This window comes from Homo sapiens, chromosome 4, assembly GCF_000001405.40.
Source record: "Homo sapiens chromosome 4, GRCh38.p14 Primary Assembly".
In the NCBI taxonomy this organism is placed as follows: domain Eukaryota; kingdom Metazoa; phylum Chordata; class Mammalia; order Primates; family Hominidae; genus Homo; species Homo sapiens.
This window is the reverse complement of record NC_000004.12, coordinates 6,667,753-6,686,228: the sequence shown is the minus strand read 5'-3', so window position 1 is coordinate 6,686,228 and position 18,476 is coordinate 6,667,753. Positions and strand designations below refer to the sequence as shown.

Here is an 18,476-nt window from a genome sequence, read left to right as displayed (position 1 = left end):
GATGAGATCACCTCCAGGACTCTGAACCCACAGAGCCCACATTCTCACACCAAGGTGCCCAGATTCCTAGGCGTGCACAGTGCATGCTGGGCACATTAGAACACCAGGGGTTTTAAAACATTTCTATTTAGACTAAGAAACTCACATGGGGAGAAATCAGGAGCCCTGTGAAAACACGGGGTCTCCATCTCCCAGACCCATCCAGCCAGTTCCTGGAGAGACAGTTCTTCCCACCCCCGAGTGGCCATGTGCACTGGGGGTCCTGACCCAGGCGAGGCAGTCTCCATAGTCAGCTCCCCTGTCTGGGTCTTGGGTGCCCACAAAGGGAAGGCCTGTTGGAGAACCTGGAGGAGGAGGAGTTGAGAGGAGGAGGGAGAGAGGCTGGGCACTGCAGCCTGTGGAAGTCCTGTTAAGTCTGCAGTCGGCACACCCCACATTTGCCGCTTCTGCCCTCGCAGCGAGTCTCCCAGTGCTGCCAAGGTCAACACCCTGGGGTGGGGGTGCAGGCTGAGGCCTGGAGCAGAGGATGGGGTCCAAGTCTGGCTCAGCCATGTGCTGGCTGGGGACCTCTCTAAGCCCAGTTTTCTCATCTGTAAAATGGATGGGGTGCACATGCTCCTACCCCAAGGATTGTTGTGAGGATGGGCAGTGCCCATCCGGCAGTTGCTCATTGGCAGCTGAATGGTGAATGTTATCTGTCCACTTGGATAGGCTATTGGCCCTGTTGTTTGTTCAAACTCTCATCTAGATGCCGCTGTGAAGATATTTTTGGGTGTCATTAGTATTTAACTAGTGGACTTTGAATAAAACAGATGACCTTCCATAGTGTGGGTAGGCCTCGTCCAATCCGTTGAAACTGAGGTTTCCAGAAGGAATTCTGCCTCGAGAGCACAATACAGAAAGCCTGACTCAGTTTCCAGCCTGCACCGTGTGGACTCAAGCCTGAGATATCAGCTATTCCCTGAGTCTCAGGCCTGCCAGCCTGCCCTAAGAGTTTGGACTTACCAGTCCCCACAATCACACGAGCCAATCGCTTAAAACTCAATCAATCAATCAGTGTTAAAATAAGTTACCAATGTTCAAAAATAAGGTTTCACACACACACACACACACAAGAGGATTCCTAACATGGAAATCAGATGATGTGACCACACTGGGCATCCGTTCCTGCCAGAGCGGGACAGTCAAGCCCCCCGCTCCCCTCACCTGAGGTTGGGCTGCCCCAGGCATGTGAGTTTTTCCAAGCTCCTTTCTGGCTCTGGGTTCAGTTTAGCAAACGCTTGGTTGGAAACACTCTCGCTAGGTGCTGGGGATACCGGGGAGAGTGTGGTCCCTGCCCTGGAGGAGGTGCTGTGGCATCCTGGTGGGGACCAACCCGCCAGCCCACGGTGCAGGCAAGAGAGGTCAGGCGGGGAGGAGTAGGGCGAAGCCTGGGGGTGTGCAAGCCCCCTGCCTCCTCCTTCCCTTGGGAAGACCGCAGAGCCACAGCCTGGCCATCCTGTTCACGGGAAAGCTGGGTTGGAGAAGCTAGCTTGGGTCTGGGACCAGAAGAGGACTCATGGGTCCTACTCCTGGAATTGGTCTATGAGGTGCAGCCACTCCCAGCCCTGCCAGCTCAGGAAAGGGGGGCCGTTTCTCCAAATCTCAGCCCCCTCAGGTGCCCACTGTCTCCTGAAGTGGCGGGAGAGCAGGGGAGTCTCTTGTCCTTGTGAGGAGAGCAGCGGTTTGTTCTGGAACCGGGGGCCTTAAGGGGAGCCCGCAGAGAGCGACGCTGGCATCTGCCTCATGGGGAGCTGTGAAGACCCTGAATAAAGTGCACGAGACATTTTCCCTCAGCCAGCAACTGTGATCGCGACACTGTGGCGCTTGTCCTGGAGGTGTGCGGATGGGGACTGCTGCTGAGCACTCTGGCCCGGCCCCTCTTTCTTTAGATGGACTCCTGGAAATGAGACTAAAGTTGAAGCACCTGAATGCTTACATGTTTTACCTCTAACGTTTATTTTAAAAAATTTGTGGCCAGGCACAGTGGCTCACGCCTGTAATCCTAGCATTTTGGGAGGTCGAGGTGGGCAGATCACCTGAGGTCAGGAGTTCGAGGTGACCTCCTCGAACATGGTGAGACCCCGTCTCTTCTAAAAATACAAAAATTAGCCAGGCGTGGTGGCAGGCGCCTGTAATCCCAGCTACTTGGGAGGCTGAGGCAGGAGAATCGCTTGAGCCCGGGAGTTGGAGGTTGCAGTGAGCAGAGATTGTGCCACTGCACTCCAGCCTGGGTAACAGAGCGAGACTCTGTCTCAAAAAAAAAAAAATTGTATAACACTACTTTTTAAATTTTTTAGAGACAGAGTCTCATTCTGCTGCCCAGGCTGGAGTGCAGTGGCATGATAGCTCACTGCAGCCTCGAACTCCTGGGCTCAAGCCATCCTCTTGCTTCAGCCTCCTGAGTAGTGGGGACTAATTTTTTAAAAATTCTTTTTGTAGAGACGGGGCCTTGCTATGTTACCCAGGCTGGTCTTGGACTCCTGGGCTCAAGCAAGCCTCCCAAATCACTGGGATTACAGGCATGAACCACCACACCTGGCTTAATATTACTTTTATTAGTTTTTTAAACACTATGAAGTATAAATAACAAAAAAACGGAGCTTAATCTTGCTACTCAGATATATTTTGTTGATATTAGCAACTAAATAAAGAGGGTCTCAAGCAGGTTTAGAAAATTTAAGCGAGATTAGAAGGGCACCTGATGAAACGGAAAACCCTCACTCGACCCAGCCTCAGCCCTCAGTCTGGGGCAACTACTAACAGTTGCTGTGGTTTCTTCCAGAAGAATGTTGCCACACACCCCAGCTTGTAGGAGTCAGCGCTGGTGTGTGCAGCAGTGAGAAGGCGCGCATCTTCCTTCACAGGCACCATGGCCACTGTCCTGCTCTGGCACAGCTTGCCTTTCCACCTGAGCCCTCCCAGCACGCTTTCCACTTCAGTCCAGCAAGGCGGTCTCGTCCCTCTTGTTCTGGTCCCTTTGGTTAGGGCCTCCCTCTCTACGAGCACTAGCCCTGCCAGTGGCCTGGGAGCTCTGCAAAGGCCAAGGGTGGGTCCAACCCACCTCTGAATGCCTGGAGCCCAGCTCAGGACAGGGGCCCCTTTCCTGGAGCTGTGGGTGGTATGGAGGCAGGGCTGGGAGAGGAGAGACAGAGGGTGGAGGACTGGAGGGGTCAGGGTCAAGGTGAGGGTCAGCATCCTGCCAAACTCTGCTGCCCACAGCAGACCTGGGGTGCTGTCTGCAACTAGGTGAGGAGAGCTGGCTGGTGTGAGCCACGATTAAGTGTTTCCCAGGTGCATGGGTGGTAAAGGTTTATTTAAAACCAACCAAGCAACCAACCAAATCTCTGCCTCACTGCTCCCCGCCCCAGCCCTCCCGCTCCAGCCACAAGCACCCTGCTGCCATCATGTTACATGGCATGGCTTCATTGTCCCCTGGCTTAAGGAGAATGTTTCCCGCAGGTTGTAAGTGGACAATTTTATCCACCTAGTACTAGCGTGTGAGAAGTTTTGAAATGAATGTTCATGTACTAGATTGCGTGAAATGCCTTTTCTGTGTCTAATGAGACCTTAGTGTGTTTTTCTTTCTCCACTCATCTGCCAGTGGGGTGCATTACCTTACTGGACTTATTCAGGCTCAGCAGCCTTGACAAAGACCTTATGGAATTTCCTTTTTTTTTTTTCTTTTTTTTTTTTTTGACAGAGTCTCACTCTGTTGCCCAGGTTAGAGTGCAATGGCGCCATCTTGACTCACTGCAACCTCTGCCTCCCGGGTTCAAGCGATTCTCCTGCCTCAGCCTCCCGAGTAGCTGGGGTTACAGGTGCATGCCACCATGCCCAACTAATTTTTGTATTTTTTAGTAGGGGTTTCACCACGTTGGCCAGGCTGGCCTTGAACTCCTGGCCTCAGGTGATCCACCCGCCCTGGCCTCCCAAATTGCTGGGATTACAGGCGTGAGCCACTGCGCCCGGCCTTCTTATGGCATTTACTATCTGGCTCCTTAGCGAAAATTTAATTGCTAATCTAGGGCAAAGTTTTCTCCAATCAGTCCTCCCAGCAGTTCTGACAGGGATACAGGCAGGGAGTATCATGCCCATCTTACGGGTGGGGAGAGATATTCAGAAAGGCCTGGTGCCTTCCCCAGGGCTGCACAGCTCACAGATGCAGAAGGCACAATGGGAAAGTATCTTCTGCTCACCTCCCTCCACCTGCACCAAGGCTGGAGCAAAGAAATGCAAAGAACGCTGCCCAGCTGCCCCACAGCCCCCAAAGACTTGGTGTGATGAGCTCTGGATGGCAGCTGGGAACGTCTTCTTTTAATGAGGGCTCCCCTCTTCCATCCACAGTCGTTGAACCTCTCAGGAGGGCTGGGCTGGTAGCATCCTGAGAATAATGAAAAAGCTGGGAAATGATGCTCCGTGGATTGGCCATTGATGAGACTGGTGCCTTCTCCAGTAAAGTGGACCTGCAGGATGAGTCTTCCAAAGGGACCTTCGTGGAGTCTAAGTAGCACATCAAACATCCTCCCAAAAGGCTGTCCACCAGGTGTCCCCCAGACTGCACACGGATAAGGGTTCTGAAGTCATCTGTGCTCAGGCAGAGCCTTGAGAGGACTGCTGCCTGCGATCCGAGTGGGGCGAGAATGGATCCACAGTGAGCCTGGGCTTCTATGAGCTTGACTAAGAAACAGCACGACCATCCTTTGGTCATGAACTGCACCTGCCTGCACACCTCCACGCTGCAGGCGCACCTGCTGAATGCACTGGGGGCAGCCTGCTGAATGGTGGGGAGGCCTCTCCACTGTCAGCAGAGGGCTGCACAGGAGCTGGGGGCAGCCGGCAGGGGGAGCCCTTGTGCCCAGGGCACTGACGCCACTCAGGGAGGGCAGAACATGGCCTCCTGCTTTTTGTGGAAGCTTTTCAGGCCAGCTCCCCCAGAGACCCTGGGGGAAAGGGCTCGTGGGTCAGGGCTCATAAACCATAATCATCCAACATATAACTTTAGAACAAATTGGACTGCTCAGGAGGGAGAGGGCCCCGAGAGGCCACAGAAGACTTGGTGGGCTGAAGTGTGGAACAAGCTGTGTGAGGGGAGCCTAAGCTGGCTGGGGTGCCCTAGAACTTGAAGTTCAGGACTCTGGGGGAAAGCAGGGAGAGGGCTGGGGGCTTGGAGGGGCGGCATTTGGGTCGTGGTTGGAATGTTCCCAAAGGAAATGTTCTAGAAATGAAGTGTCAGTGCAGGTGCACTTCTGGCTACTGGCTTCATCGAATTAAGTTGGGGATGGGATTATGCGAACTGGCTGACCACCAGAGGAGGGACTCTGCAAGATGCAGAGGAAGGCAGGCACCTACAGGGGGAGCTGCAGGGGCCACCCCACCTGCTGCCTGCAGCTGCGCCACCTGCATCCCATCTGTCCTGCTGCACCAGGTCAGTCCCGTCAGGCGGTACAGCTGTCCACATCACACATGGTCACACACAGAAAGACACCCTCCCTTCAGCTACCTCTGCAGTCACCCCATTTCTCTGCCACGTTACAGCAGAACTTCTCCAAAGAATGCTGCATGTTTTCTCTGTCCACCTTTACCATGGTTCAGCTGCAGTAGTGTCCCAGTCAGGGGATTCAGCATGGGCAAAGGCCCTGGGGCCACACCACATGCTTGCCATGGCCAGGAAACAGCAAAGCAGCCAGTGTGGCCAGGAGTGAAGAAGCACCGAGAAACTGGACTGGGGGACCACAGAAGCCTGCCCACTCTGCACTTTGTGGTCTGTGGCCCAGACTTCAATTCCATTCTAAGCGCCAAACACTGGAGTGACAGCTGAATTCTCAACATAGAAGCCAAAGTTAGTGAAATAACATGTTAATGACACCAAGAGAAAATACTCGCCAACCTAAAATTATATACCCAGAAAAATTATCTTTCAAGAAAGAGAGGAAACAAAACTGAGGAAGATAATGGGACTGGTTTGTCAGAGAGCAATGACTCAAGGGACCACATTAAGGAACTCTTCATTCTTCTGCGTCTCAGAGTATATGTGCGACCAGGACTGTGGGAATGAAGAAACACAGAAAAATGTGTCTGACTTACAGGACACTGAACAAATAAGACTGACAGGTACACCCTGACCCAAGTTCAGGATGCCTCTGAATACCCAAGAATTATGTTGTCATATGACATAATCAAGGGGGAGAAAAATCAAAGATCAATTTCATTTGTTCAGCAACCTTTTTCCAGTTGGAGAGAAGTCTCAGGGCATCTTGGAACCCAGGAATCTTCTGCTAATGAGACTCTTAGTCCCAATATAGGACCTACTTGGAAGTGCGAGTGTGGCTAGACCATATAATGAAATTCCAAAAGTCTCTGAGAGGGCCTCAGACACCTGTCTTCAAAGTGCTACCTCAGGGAGCAAGGCTAAAATTGTCCACGAGGTGGCTGGTTACTTTATATGAATCTGAGTCAAATGAAATGTCTAGGTTCCAAGGAAACTCAGAGACAACACAGTGCAAATCTATCATTTTATGGTGGCCCCCAAAGAGATGGCCACAGGGTGAGTAATCAGCACAGCCAGGAATGGAACTGCCCTCCTGATCCCGGCCCACGCCTTGTGTGCTGTTCGCTGTCCGATGTACAGCGGGGTTGGGGCTCTTCCTCCCCAAGTGCGTTCTCTTCCTCTAGGCTCATACACAGGATATTGCCCTTGGCTCCCAAGACGCAAAGTTCACAAACTTAGCTTTTACCATCATGGCACCCAAGATCCAAACTGCCTTCATCAAAGGAGTCAGGCAGGATGAGGAAACATGCAGATGTAGAGGGCTGGGCCTCAGTTGTTCTCTGCTGACAGGATGGGGTCAGTCAGATTGGAACCTTCTTTTTTTTATTTTTATTTTTTGAGATGGAGTCTCGCTCTGTGACCCAGGCTGGTGTGCAGTGGCACAATCTCGGCTCACTGCAAGCTCTGCCTCCCGGGTTCACGCCATTCTCCTGCCTCAGCCTCCTGAGTAGCTGGGACTACAGGTGCCTGCCACTACGCCCAGCTAATTTTTTGTATTTTTAGTGTAGATGGGGTTTCACTATGTTAGCCAGGATGGTCTCGATAACCTGACCTCGTGATCTGCCTGCCTCAGCCTCCCAAAGTGCTGGGATTACAGGTGTGAGCCACCGCACCCAGCCAGATTGGAACCTTCTACACACCCTCCTTTCCCCTGCCCACATCCCCACACGGCTTCAATCATGTAACACATATCTGTGACCCCTCAGGGAAGGAGCCTTGCCTATTCCCTGGCTGGGTAGATACCACCCACCCTGGGCTCTGCTCATGCTCAGCATTTCTCACCCACACACAGGGGCTAAGTGTCCATCTCACCCACTAGGGTGCAAACCCTCTGAAGGCAGCAGCTGTGCAAAAGGGTGGCTGTCATGTCTACTCCGGGCCTGGCACATGTTAAGTCTTTGGTATCTATTCAAAGAATACTTGAACAAATGAATCAATGACTCCATCGCCAAGGAGCCAACTGCTTCTTAGTTGGACCTAGTACATTGCCAGCATAACACACTGGATGAATACATCAACAAAGAAGTGAATCCATCCTATGACATCCACTGGCTGGTGTCCAGAAGACATCTGGAACATGGGACATGAGCAGAGCGGGGATGCCTGCATTCAGCCCTCCAAATCTCACTTAGCCTGAGAGACAACTTACACCTCTCGTCAGTCAGAGAGGGTCTCTCATGGAACATTCTATGAGGCCAGAAACTCAGTCCCAGGCTTGCTGCTGCAGCCCTCTCCAGAGTGGTCAGCATTCTGAACCATTGTTTCAAAAACCATCACGGGCCGGGCGCAGTGGCTCACGCCTGTAATCCCAGCACTTTGGGAGGCCGAGGCAGGTGGATCATGAGGTCAGGAGATCGAGACCATCCTGGCTAACAAGGTGAAACCCCGTCTCTACTAAAAATACAAAAAATTAGCCGGGCGCGGTGGCGGGCGCCTGTAGTCCCAGCTACTCGGGAGGCTGAGGCAGGAGAATGGCGTGAACCCGGGAAGCGGAGCTTGCAGTGAGCCGAGATTGCGCCACTGCAGTCCGCAGTCCGGCCTGGGCGACAGAGCGAGACTCCGTCTCAAAAAAAACAAAACAAAACAAACAAAAAAAACCCCATCACGACAGTTAGAGGATGCAGATGGCACATCAGGAGCTACTGATGTTGTGAAAGAGCTTTGGCATCAGTTGAATTCTTCCCGGCAAGGTTCTAGGGTTGTTTTCTGTTTTGTTTTTGGCTGAAGTTTCCCCACCTGAACAATGGGGATAATAAAATGACCTCTGATATTTGTGAAAATTAGATATGTTAAGTGCCTAATCCCAAGTGGATTCTTGTAATACAGGCTTTTGTTTTCTCATTTTCACATCCTCAGTGTCCTAACACTGGCGGGAGCTTAGGGAATTGGGCTGGGAGGTAACAGACGAGACAGGCCAGTGCAAAATGTTTCCCTTTTGGCCCCTTTGTGTGGTTTTAGACTTCTACCTACTCCTGCCATCCCACTGACATCCTATATAATGATGTTCCTCTTTACAAGTTTGCTAAAGCAAATTTAACAATCCCAGGGAAAATTTTTTTAAAAAAGGAAATGTATTTAACTGTAAGCGCGCTTGCCTTACCCGAGACACAAGACTCAAAGACAGGTCTCCCGAAGGATCCCCCATTCCCCCCGCCCCATTTCCATCCACGGGCGGCCTCTGCAGCCCACGCTGGGCCCCTGGCCTGTTTCGTGTTCCCCATGCTTGAGGTGCTGTTTGTGTAGCTGTGCCCATGCTTCCGCTCAGAGCAAGTCAGTGGGTCTGAGGGGACTCCTCCCTAAGTCCTCCCACCAGACACAGCGTAAGCACCTCTTTGCCTGTGAAAGTCCTTGTTTACATCTGCAGTCCCAGATGAATTTCTATTAATAGAGCCACCCTTCACTTTCAAAAGTGGCCCAGTTTGTTTGACAAATGGTACTAAATAGGTGCTCAGGTCCCGAGCCTCAGAGCCATTGCTGAATCCTCTCATGTCCACAGGCAGGCCCTCGGCACTTTCCCAACGCAGTCCACACCCGTCCCCATCCACACAGCGCGTGCTCCACTCTCCACGCTGCCTCCCACTCTTGTCCTGGTCCCCCACTGTCAGGCCTGAGCACAGCAGCCACCACCTCAGATGGTCAGCTCCCATCGCTCCTCTGCTGGCAACCCCCCACCAGCTTCACATCCACCCACTTCTCCCTCTGACCTCGGTGCCCACCACTTCCTCCCTTCCCACTGGGGTTTCATGCTGCCTCACCTTTTTACCCTACTTGTTCCCCGTGCCTAGAAGACTCTTTCCCCAGACACCCATGCACATTCCACACATCAGCCTTCACTCAAATGTCATATCAGACATGTTACCTGACCATGCAAATCAACTAGAAATCCCACACCCTATCCCCCAATGCCATTTTTTTCCCCCACAGAACTTACACTATTTAATATGGGTACATATCATTTTTTTCCTGCTTCCCTCATTTAGGGGTTATCTAACAAATACTTAGGAAACACTTACTATAGCCAGACACAATTCTAAGCATCTTATGAATAACAAATCCAACTTTTTTTTTCTATTAGAGACAGGGTCTCACCATGTTGCCCAGGCTGATCTCAAACTCCTGGCCTCAAGCAATCCTCCTGCTCAGGCCTCCTAAAGAAATGGGATTACAGGCATGAGCTACCATGCCTGGCCCTCAGATCCAATTTTACAAGCACTTTGTTCACTCAGGTAGTCTCAGCATCTGTAGGTGCTCAATTTATGCGTTGAATCAAAGACCAGCATTGCGGACACTGTACTGTAATTGTGTTTTCAGACCTGTCTCAACCCACTAGATCGTCTCTCCAAGAAATTCCTAGTGCCTGGCATAGTGTGGAGCTCTGTGGTCACAGTGAACACTAGCTGCCTGAATGGACTTCACCTCTCCAAAGGCTGGGGCCAGACCATATGGCTTCATGAGGCACCCCTTTCCTACTCTAGGTCTGCCTTCTTCTTCTTCTGCAGCTCAAACCCCACCCTGGGCTACAGGCTTTGAACAACTCGTGAGTCAGAAGCAATTCTCCTCCATTTGACAGTGACCACTATCAAGGAGAAACTCATTTTGAAAAATGTTTATTTACCTTACCTTTTCTTGGCCAAGTCAATTGCTTTGGTCATCTGCACAAAGATTCTAAACACTGGCTTTCAGCATTTCTTTTTCCAAGCAAATGAAATTTATCATAACAAGACAGAGCTCTGATTTTAGTCTCTGTGGAGTCTGGGCTCTGATGACCTAGGCTAGTCATCATCTAAGCCTGGAATGACTGTTTGGGACCCCCATGGCCAGCTTGAAGCTTTCCTTCCTCAGCCACTCTGGGCCCCTGAAGAGGTCACATGCATCTGTGGCAGAGACTGTATTATAACAAAGTTGTTTACCCCAAAGTCAGCAAACACATGTACCTAGAACTCATCCCAATTGTAGGTTGCTCACCAGACAGGTTACACGATGTGCACCAGTTAACATGCCATAGGAAAATTACATTCCAAGAAAAAGCAAAATGCTATAAAAACAAAAAAAACAAAACACCCAAAACAGCTCTCCCTCCTTTGATCTGATGGTCTGCAGAGGTCCTCAAATCCACACACTGCCACTCTTCAAGACCAACCGTCCACTGGGCCTTCTTAATCTCATCCAAAGTCGCATTCACAACTTTGACAGGAGCTTGGGTTCTTCATGTGGCAGCTGCAACCATGTAGTGTCTTCTCACTTGCAGAACTCTAACCTCAAGTCTCTCATGAGTCCCCAAATTCCAGGAAGCATAAAAAAACAGCAAAGCACACGAGTATACTTCCAAACTTTGAAAATACAATAAGATCACAGGAACAAATATGACCACGCAGCAGCGTACGTACTGTATAGGCCATATTCCTTTACGTGGGACATTAATGAAAAGCTGTCTTTTCCAAACTGAATGCGCCTATTAATAAAAAAATACACCTGACCATCTAATGCTGAAGTCATCCGCCAGGATGGTACTGGAAATTGAGTGGCTAATGTGGAGAAAACGCAGGCAGAAAAACAGGGGAGACAAAACGAAAGGCTCTCTTGGTTTGAGCCTGTCCAAGCAGCCACGACTCCTTATCAGGTGAACACAGTTCGTCAGTTGGCCACCTAAAGTACAAGTGGGAGAAATTCATCATCACAACATAAATTTTGAGCTTGATATTCTCATATCCGGGAGTCAAACAAACCCAACCACCTGTGCACAATGCTTCCACCTGCAGGAAGGTCATCGCAAACGCTCCAATCTCGTAACAACATTCACACGTTTCCAGCATGTACCTCCGCTTCACACCTCTCTCCCCCCACGTAGTGACCCACCAGGTCTACGTCCTGAAAATACTTCCAGTGGTCATGACTCTTTACAACAACATATCAAATTATTTTCTCTAATTACCTATGAAAAAAGAATGAAACCAACTCCGCGGAGAGCGTGGCACGGCTCTGCGCTCCCCTCCCTGCCTACCCAGCGCCTTCCACGCGGGACACTCCCCGCCGCGCTCCGCTCCAGACCCGCGCGGCCTCGCCGGCTCAGCAGCACTCGCAGCCGGCGATCCGCTGGTGCAGCTCCACGATCCGCCTGCCCATCCGCGCCGCCTCCGCAGCCTTCCTCTCTGCTTCGGCGCACAGCCGAGCCACCCGCTCCTCAGCCTCCGCACGCGGGCGGGGTGCTGGGGCCCGGGCGCCCCGCTCCTCTGCCTCCACCTCACTCTTGATGGCGTCGAGCAGGCTCTGGATCTCCAGCAGCTTCCTGCGGGCCCGCCAGTGCGCCCGGGCGCGCTCGCGCTCCAGGGAGGCCAGGTTCTCGCGGCCGGCGCGGGGCGCGGGGCTCAGCGGGCTGCCCGGCTCCTCGCGGGGCTCCCGCGCCTCGTCCGCGTCCACGGGCCGCATCACGCCGCCGCCTCTTCCAGCCCGCGGGGCACGCCGGGGCTGCTCACCAGCAGCGAGCGCGGAAGCCTCGCTGTCACCAACGACCAGACTAGCAACAGGTTGCCCCAACTTTCCGCAGCGAGGACGGTATCCAAAATGGGCTACTAGCCGTCGGCCAGGACGCTGCCACTGCGGCCCTTTTACGACACCTGCGGTCCTTTACCGCCACGCAGCAAGCGAGAACCGCATTCGGGGCTCCCGCCTCAGCGGTCCTGCGCGCGCACGCGCACTTGCACGCACGCGTACCCCCCCGCACGCATGCGCACCCCATGTCCCCGCCCGCTGTAGCGCCACAGCTCTTTGGGCGTTGATTCTAGGGTCAGGGCCCTCACTCACACTGCTGGAAGGTTAAAGTCGACTTCACGCTAGTTTAAGGAAATATCTGACGCTGATAACCATGTCCCAAGCACTGCTCTAAGTTCCCAATGTGTCCGGAATTGGTGGGTTCTTGGTCTCACTGACTTCAAGAATGAAGCCACGGACCCTCGCGGTGAGTGTTACAGCTCTTAAAGTGGCGCGTCTGGAGTTTGTTCCTTCTGATGTTCGGATGTGTTCGGAGTTTTTTCCTTCTGGTGGGTTCGTGGTCTCGCCGGCTCAGGAGTGAAACTGCAGACCTGTTACGGCTCATAAAGGCAGTGTGGACCCAAAGAGTGAGCAGCAGCAGGATTTATTGCAAAGAGAGAAAGAACAAAGCTTCCACAATAGAAGGGGACCTGAGCCGGTTGCCACTGCTGGCTCCGGCAGCCTGCTTTTATTGTCTTATCTGGCCCCACCCACATCCTGCTGATTGGTAGAGCCGAGTGGTCTGTTTTGACAGGGTGCTGATTGGTGCGTTTACAATCCCTGAGCTAGACACAAAGGTTCTCCAAGGCCCCAGCAGAGTCGATTGGTATATTCACAAACCCTGAGCTAGACACACGGTGCTGATTGGTGTATTTACAATCCCTGAGCTAGACATAAAGGTTCTCCACATCCCCACCAGACTCAGGAGCCCAGCTGGCTTCACCAAGTGGATCCCACACCAGGGCTGCAGGTGGAGCTGCCTGCGAGAACGGCACCGTGCGCCCACACTCCTCAGCCCTTGGGTGGTGATGGGACTGGGCGCCGTGGAGCAGGGGGTGGTGCTCGTCGAGGAGGCTCGGGCAGCACAGGAGCCCATGGAGGGGGTGGGAGGCTCAGGCATGGCGGGCTGCAGGTCCCGAGCCCTGCCCCTCGGAAAGGCAGCTAAGGCCCGGTGAGAAATCGAGCACAGCGCCGGTGGGCTGGCACTGCTGAGGGACCCAGTACACCCTCCGCAGCCGCTGGCCCGGGTGCTAAGCCCCTCATTGCCGGGGGCTGGCAGGGCCAGCCGGCTGCTCCGAGTGCGGGGCCCACCAAGCCCACGCCCACCCTGAACTCCAGCTGGCCCGCAAGCGCCGTGTGCAGCCCCGGTGCCCGCTCGCGCCTCTCCCTCCACACCTCCCTGCAAGCTGAGAGAGCCGGCTCTGGCCTTGGCCAGCCCAGAAAGGGGCCTCCACAGTGCAGCAGTGGGCTGAAGGGCTCCTCAAGTGCTGCCAAAGTGGGAGCCCAGGCAGAGGAGGCACCGAGAGTGAGCGAGGGCTGTGAGGACTGCCAGCACACTGTCACCTCTCACCAACATTCTAAATCATAAACACCCAGGCCGGGCGTGTGGCTCACGCCTATAATCCCAGCACTTTGGGAGGCTGAGGTGAGAGGATCGCTTGAGCTCAGGAGTTCCATACCAGCCTGGGCAACAAGGGAAAAAACCCTACCAAAAAAAACACAAGAAATTAGCTGGGCGTGGTGGCGCGTGCCGATAGTCCCAGCTACTTGAGAGGCTGAGCCGGGAAGATTGCTTGAGCCCAGCAGGTCGAGACCGAGGTGAGCTCTGAACGCCTGATTGCGCCACTGCACCCCAGCCCAGTGACAGGGCGAGACCCTGTCTCAAAATAAATAAATAAAAATAATAAACAACCGAATTCAGTGGTCCCGTTAGAATATTCCAGGCTCCGAGAAGCCAGGTGCTCACAGCGTCGGGATTTGCCCCCAGCCAGGGCCTCCGCTCCCTCTTGCCTCGGGCAGATGCTCCTGGAACACAGAGCTGCGGCCTCGGTGCTGATGCTGAGTGCTGTGACCCAGCCTCCCCCTACTTTTTTCCTAAGGGTATAAGCTTCACTCTGCCTGGGGCTTTGGCTGTAAGTTGGAGTCTGGCTTTACCCACTGTGGGCACCCAAGGCCAAGGTGGGTCTGATTCACCACTGTTTCCTCAGCCCTGCCAGGCTCTGAATATGCCTTTAGGAATCATTCTGGAAGATTTCTTTCTTCACTGGACTATATAAGTGCCTCTGCGAGAAAACAGGCCCTAGGGGCAGGTACTTAGTCAGTTTAGTCATCTGTTTCCTCAGCTTGAAATGGGCTTGGCATACAGCAGGAGCCCAGTAAATGTTGCTTTAATGCTCATTTCCCAAGAGATCTTTATTAAGCACCCACTGCATGTCATTGTGTCTAGGCTTATTCACTGTGTACCTCTAGCAGAAAGTTAAGGGGACCCTCCATGCTTGATGGCCAGAGGTCACTCTCAGCTCCTACAGGTCACTCTCCGGTCCTTAAACGTGGCCCTCTCCATCTTCAAAGCCAGTAAGAGCATGTCGGATCCTTCTTATCCTTCCAGCCTCTCTGTCATCCCCTTCTGCTCCCAGCTGGAGAAAACTCTGCTTTTAAGGGGCTTGCCATGGTCCAAATATGTGAGTCCCCCCAAAATTCATATGTTGCAAAGCAATCCCCAATGTGATGATATTAGGAGGTGGGGTCTTTGGGAGGTGATGTGGTCATGAAGGCTCAGCTTTCATGAATGAGATTAGCACCCTCATAAAACAACTCCACAGGGCCGCCTTACCCCTTCTGCTGTGGGAGGTTATAGCAAAAAGATGGGCTTCTATGAACCAGAAGTGGGCCCTCACCAGGCACCAAACCTGCTGGCACCGTGATCTTGTACTGCTCAGCCTTCAGAACTCAGAAAATACATTTCTGTTGTTTAGAAGACACCCAGTTTCTGGTATTTTGTTAGAGCAGCGTGAACGGACTAAAATAGTGCTTATGTGGTTGTGTAACAGCATCGATTCCATGTTAAAGAACAATTTTGCTTGCTCAATTATAATTATTGCTTTGCTTAAGTTTTAGACTATGCTAAAAACAGCCTCAGGACCTTCAGCACTGATCAACAATCCTGGGCATGGGCTGACCGACAGTTTTCACCCAGAGAGTGAAGATCATGGAGGAGCCATCTTAAATTCTGCCCAGCGCAGGCTCCCAGGAATCCTAATGTCACGATCTCACTGCAGCCAATGTGACAAACACAGCAGTAATTAAGTCTAGAGAGCTAAACACACCTCAAAAAGAATTGTCTCTTGGTATGAGTGGAATGGAATAAAATACATGGAAACCCACAAAAGTTTCGAGGTGAACATATTAGCAAAAATGCTCTAGCTTATCCAAGCGACAGTTCAAAGTGTCAAAGGACTTCTAGACTCCCAATCTTTCCACCGGCAGAAAGCAGGCTCAGTAGCCCAAACTGGCGCATTTTAAAATGCCCTTTTCAGAAGTGTGATGGAAAAAGAAGGATGTGTCAGTGCAGGCCAGTGTGTGGGGACCAATGGCAAACTGCAGCTCCTGAACTAAGAAAGACTTTCATATCTTTAAAAAAGAAAAGGAGAAATAGGAATATGTGATAGAGACTGTATGTGGCCCACAAAGCCTAACATATTTACTGTTTAGATCTTTACAGAAAATGTTTGCCAACTCCTGTGCTGCTGAGCCACTTCCAGGTTGCAGAACCAAAGCCTTACATTCCCTAGCTTTAAAGTAGAGGACCTGGCAATGTTTACTCCACCGAGTTTCAAAATAGCTATGTGACTGCTATTTCACCCCTTCATTCTTCCCTTACCAATGGGCCTTATCCTGTCCCTGTCTCATCACTGAATGTTGGGTCTAAGTGGACAATAACTTGTCTTTTCAAAAAGTGCATAAGCTTCTAGACCAATAAAAGCCATATTAGGACCTGATGTGGCTCACAAGATGCTAGACTTCTTGCTTGAGGCCATGATTGGAAGAAAGTAGGAAGGGGGTCCTTAGATGGGGGTGGGCAATTTTTCCATGAATAATGGGGGCAGTGGGCACAGATGATGGTAGGTAGTATAAATGACCCCAATTCCCCACCCCTTCATTCATCCATGTTCTCTGCCTCATGTCTTGCTTTGGCCAATGAGAGGTTCACAGAGAGGACACAAGCACAGGTTTGAAAGAGGCTTTCGCGGTTGGACTCGCTTTCCTCTGCGTCTCTGCCTTCGCTATGAGAAGAACGGGCACCGGTCTTGGGAAGATGGTGAGAGAAACACAGAACCAAGCTGCTCTAGACAGGCCTAGCCTAGACCAGGTGGCCCGCAGACCATTACTGAGCCCAGCCTGGATCATCCAACTCCCAGCCAAACTGCAGACCATGAGGAATGTTTATTGTTGTCACGGAGATTTAGGGTGGCTCATGCAGCAAAAGCCAGTTGATGGCCGTAGGTGGGATTATAATCCCGGATACATTAAAATGCCAGTCTCTTCTTTTCCCCATGTCTTCATTTGCTCACTCTCAGGTGAAGGGATCTTGCTTGGAGGCCCAGACGTTCTGGATTTTCTCTTTAGAAACTGTGGCTTGAAGCATCCTCTTCAGGAAACAATATTTACTCCTTTTGTATCTCCAAAACCCCTCCTCACCCCTTTTGCAACCCAAACCCAAGTGTCTTCTGTGTCCTATTTTTCTTCTTTTGAGGCAGAGTCTTGCTCTGCTGCCCAGGCTGGAATGCAGTGGTGCGATCACGGCTCACTGCAGCCTCGACCTCCCTGGCCCAGGTGATCCTCGCAACTCAGCCTCCCGAGTAGCTGGGACTACAGGCACATACCACAATACCTGGCTAATTTTTTTGTATTTTTTTGTAGAGGTGTGGTTTCACTATGTTACCCAGGTTGGTCTTGAACTGAGCTCAAGCAATCTGCCTGCCTCGGCCTCCCAAAGTGCTGGGATTACAGGTGTGAGCCACTGCGCCTGGCCAGCTTGTACATTTTACAATCAAGATTACAAGACTACTGCCAGCTGTAGGCCACATCAGGCTCTGAGAAGAGGGGATGTGGACAGAGGTAACCAGGACAAAAGGAAAAAAAAGTCCTTAATTTCACCTTCTCTGATGCCATTTAGTTCATGCCGATCATCTGTAATTCACATCTGTGAACTTTCAGCCCGTTTGGGAGAAGCCTTCCCTCAAGTGCTTAATTATGGCACAGGATGGTCTCTTTTACACAAACGACTGTGCAAAGACATAGAAAGTGGAATTTATTTCTATCAGAATTAATTCAGAAAATCTGGGTAAGTTCCACACTCCATTTAACACTCATTACACATAATAACTGGTCAGACCACATTGTGTATGACTTAACCCACATTACATGAATAGTCTAGGAATAACAAAAGAATTTACTATTTATTTATCTGAAACAATGTTGATTCTGGGTTTGGTAAGATTCTGGGCTCGACACAATTCTGAGTCATGCTAAATTCTTCCACCAAAGGCAGCTGCCATAATGGAGTGTCTGGTACAGGAAGCGCGAGCCACTGGAGTGTGGGACGCATCACGGCCACAACAACAAAGCTGTCTCCACGTCCACTGCTAGCCGGGCGGGGCAGTAAAACGTGGTGTCTTGCACGTTGTATTTTCAAGAAACGGCCACAATGCAATTGCTAACAGTTGCACCTGCTCTTCCAGAACCTTGCCATGCCCATCAAGAGGTGGAGTCTGTGTCTCCTCCCTTTGACCCTGGCGGGACTTTGTGAAGGTGATATGGCAAAGAGATGCTATGGGACTTCCGATGCTTACTCTCCTGGGTTTTGTACATTTGGACGCCAAAGCCACCATATACGAAGTCTGGCTCCCCTGAAATTGCCATGCTGTGGAGACTATGTAAAAAGATCTCTGGTCGGGCGCCCCAGCACTTTGGGGGGCTGAGGCAGGTGGATCACTTGAGGTCAGGAGTTCAAGACCAGCCTGGCCAACGTGGAGAAACCCCGTCTCTACTAAAAATACAAAAATTAGCTGGGCGTGGTGTGGGGTGCCTGTAATCCCAGCTACTCGGGAGGCTGAGGCAGAAGAATCGCTTGAACCTGGGAGGCAGAGGTTGCAGTGAGCTGAGATCGTGCCATTGCACTCCAGCCTGGATAACAAGAGCCAAACTCCATCTCACAAAAAAAAAAAAAAAAAGATCACTGAAAGAGATATCCGTATCTGGAAATGGAGTGCTGCCGAAGGATGCTGAAGAGACAAAGGAAGCCTATTGGCTTTGAGAAGGCTCTCAGTGGAGACCTAAAGAAGAGTGAGGCATCTGG

At 51.7% G+C, this 18,476-nt stretch overlaps 1 protein-coding gene and 1 long non-coding RNA gene across 5 annotated transcripts, besides 4 other annotated features; one reads left to right on the top strand and one right to left on the bottom strand.

Annotated features, from left to right (window-relative positions):
• Positions 1,542 to 2,043: an enhancer, noted in NCBI's record as "H3K4me1 hESC enhancer chr4:6685913-6686414 (GRCh37/hg19 assembly coordinates)". NCBI's record gives its function as "activates a minimal SCP1, AML or CMV promoter by ChIP-STARR-seq in naive H9 embryonic stem cells {active_cell/tissue: H9 hESC(naive)}" and the evidence as "EXISTENCE:reporter gene assay evidence [ECO:0000049][PMID:30033119]".
• Positions 2,595 to 3,097: an enhancer, noted in NCBI's record as "H3K27ac-H3K4me1 hESC enhancer chr4:6684859-6685361 (GRCh37/hg19 assembly coordinates)". NCBI's record gives its function as "activates a minimal SCP1, AML or CMV promoter by ChIP-STARR-seq in naive H9 embryonic stem cells {active_cell/tissue: H9 hESC(naive)}" and the evidence as "EXISTENCE:reporter gene assay evidence [ECO:0000049][PMID:30033119]".
• On the bottom strand, positions 10,182 to 12,154 carry MRFAP1L2 (Morf4 family associated protein 1 like 2). Of its 3 annotated transcripts, none has more exons than XM_047416419.1 (2): positions 11,523 to 12,154; positions 10,182 to 11,236 (listed from the first exon to the last, which is right to left on the bottom strand). In XM_047416419.1, the coding sequence occupies exon 1, from the start codon at positions 12,014 to 12,016 to the stop codon at positions 11,657 to 11,659; it is 360 nt and encodes a 119-aa protein (XP_047272375.1). In that variant the 5' UTR covers positions 12,017 to 12,154; the 3' UTR covers positions 10,182 to 11,236; positions 11,523 to 11,656. The 3 variants fall into 3 exon arrangements, with proteins under 3 accessions (XP_047272375.1, XP_047272376.1, NP_619644.1); XM_047416420.1 differs by having other exon boundaries at positions 11,592 to 12,154; NM_138699.3 differs by having other exon boundaries at positions 10,182 to 12,154.
• Positions 11,850 to 12,079: a silencer, noted in NCBI's record as "silent region_15235". NCBI's record gives its function as "represses an Ori minimal core promoter by ATAC-STARR-seq in GM12878 lymphoblastoid cells {active_cell/tissue: GM12878}" and the evidence as "EXISTENCE:reporter gene assay evidence [ECO:0000049][PMID:35858748]".
• Positions 12,348 to 15,501, top strand: LINC02482 (long intergenic non-protein coding RNA 2482). 2 transcript variants are annotated; one of them, NR_134665.1, is made up of 2 exons: positions 12,348 to 12,545; positions 15,236 to 15,501. It is a non-coding gene; the product is annotated as a long intergenic non-protein coding RNA 2482 (long non-coding RNA). The 2 variants fall into 2 exon arrangements; NR_134664.1 differs by having other exon boundaries at positions 15,230 to 15,501.
• Positions 12,552 to 13,160: an enhancer, noted in NCBI's record as "H3K27ac-H3K4me1 hESC enhancer chr4:6674796-6675404 (GRCh37/hg19 assembly coordinates)". NCBI's record gives its function as "activates a minimal SCP1, AML or CMV promoter by ChIP-STARR-seq in primed H9 embryonic stem cells {active_cell/tissue: H9 hESC(primed)}" and the evidence as "EXISTENCE:reporter gene assay evidence [ECO:0000049][PMID:30033119]".
• Positions 15,502 to 18,476: the final 2,975 nt, after the last annotated feature.

Bases quoted from the DNA above. Each gene is read 5' to 3' on its own strand.
- MRFAP1L2 (NM_138699.3), bottom strand. From the start codon at position 12,016: ATGCGGCCCGTGGACGCGGACGAGGCGCGGGAGCCCCGCGAGGAGCCG.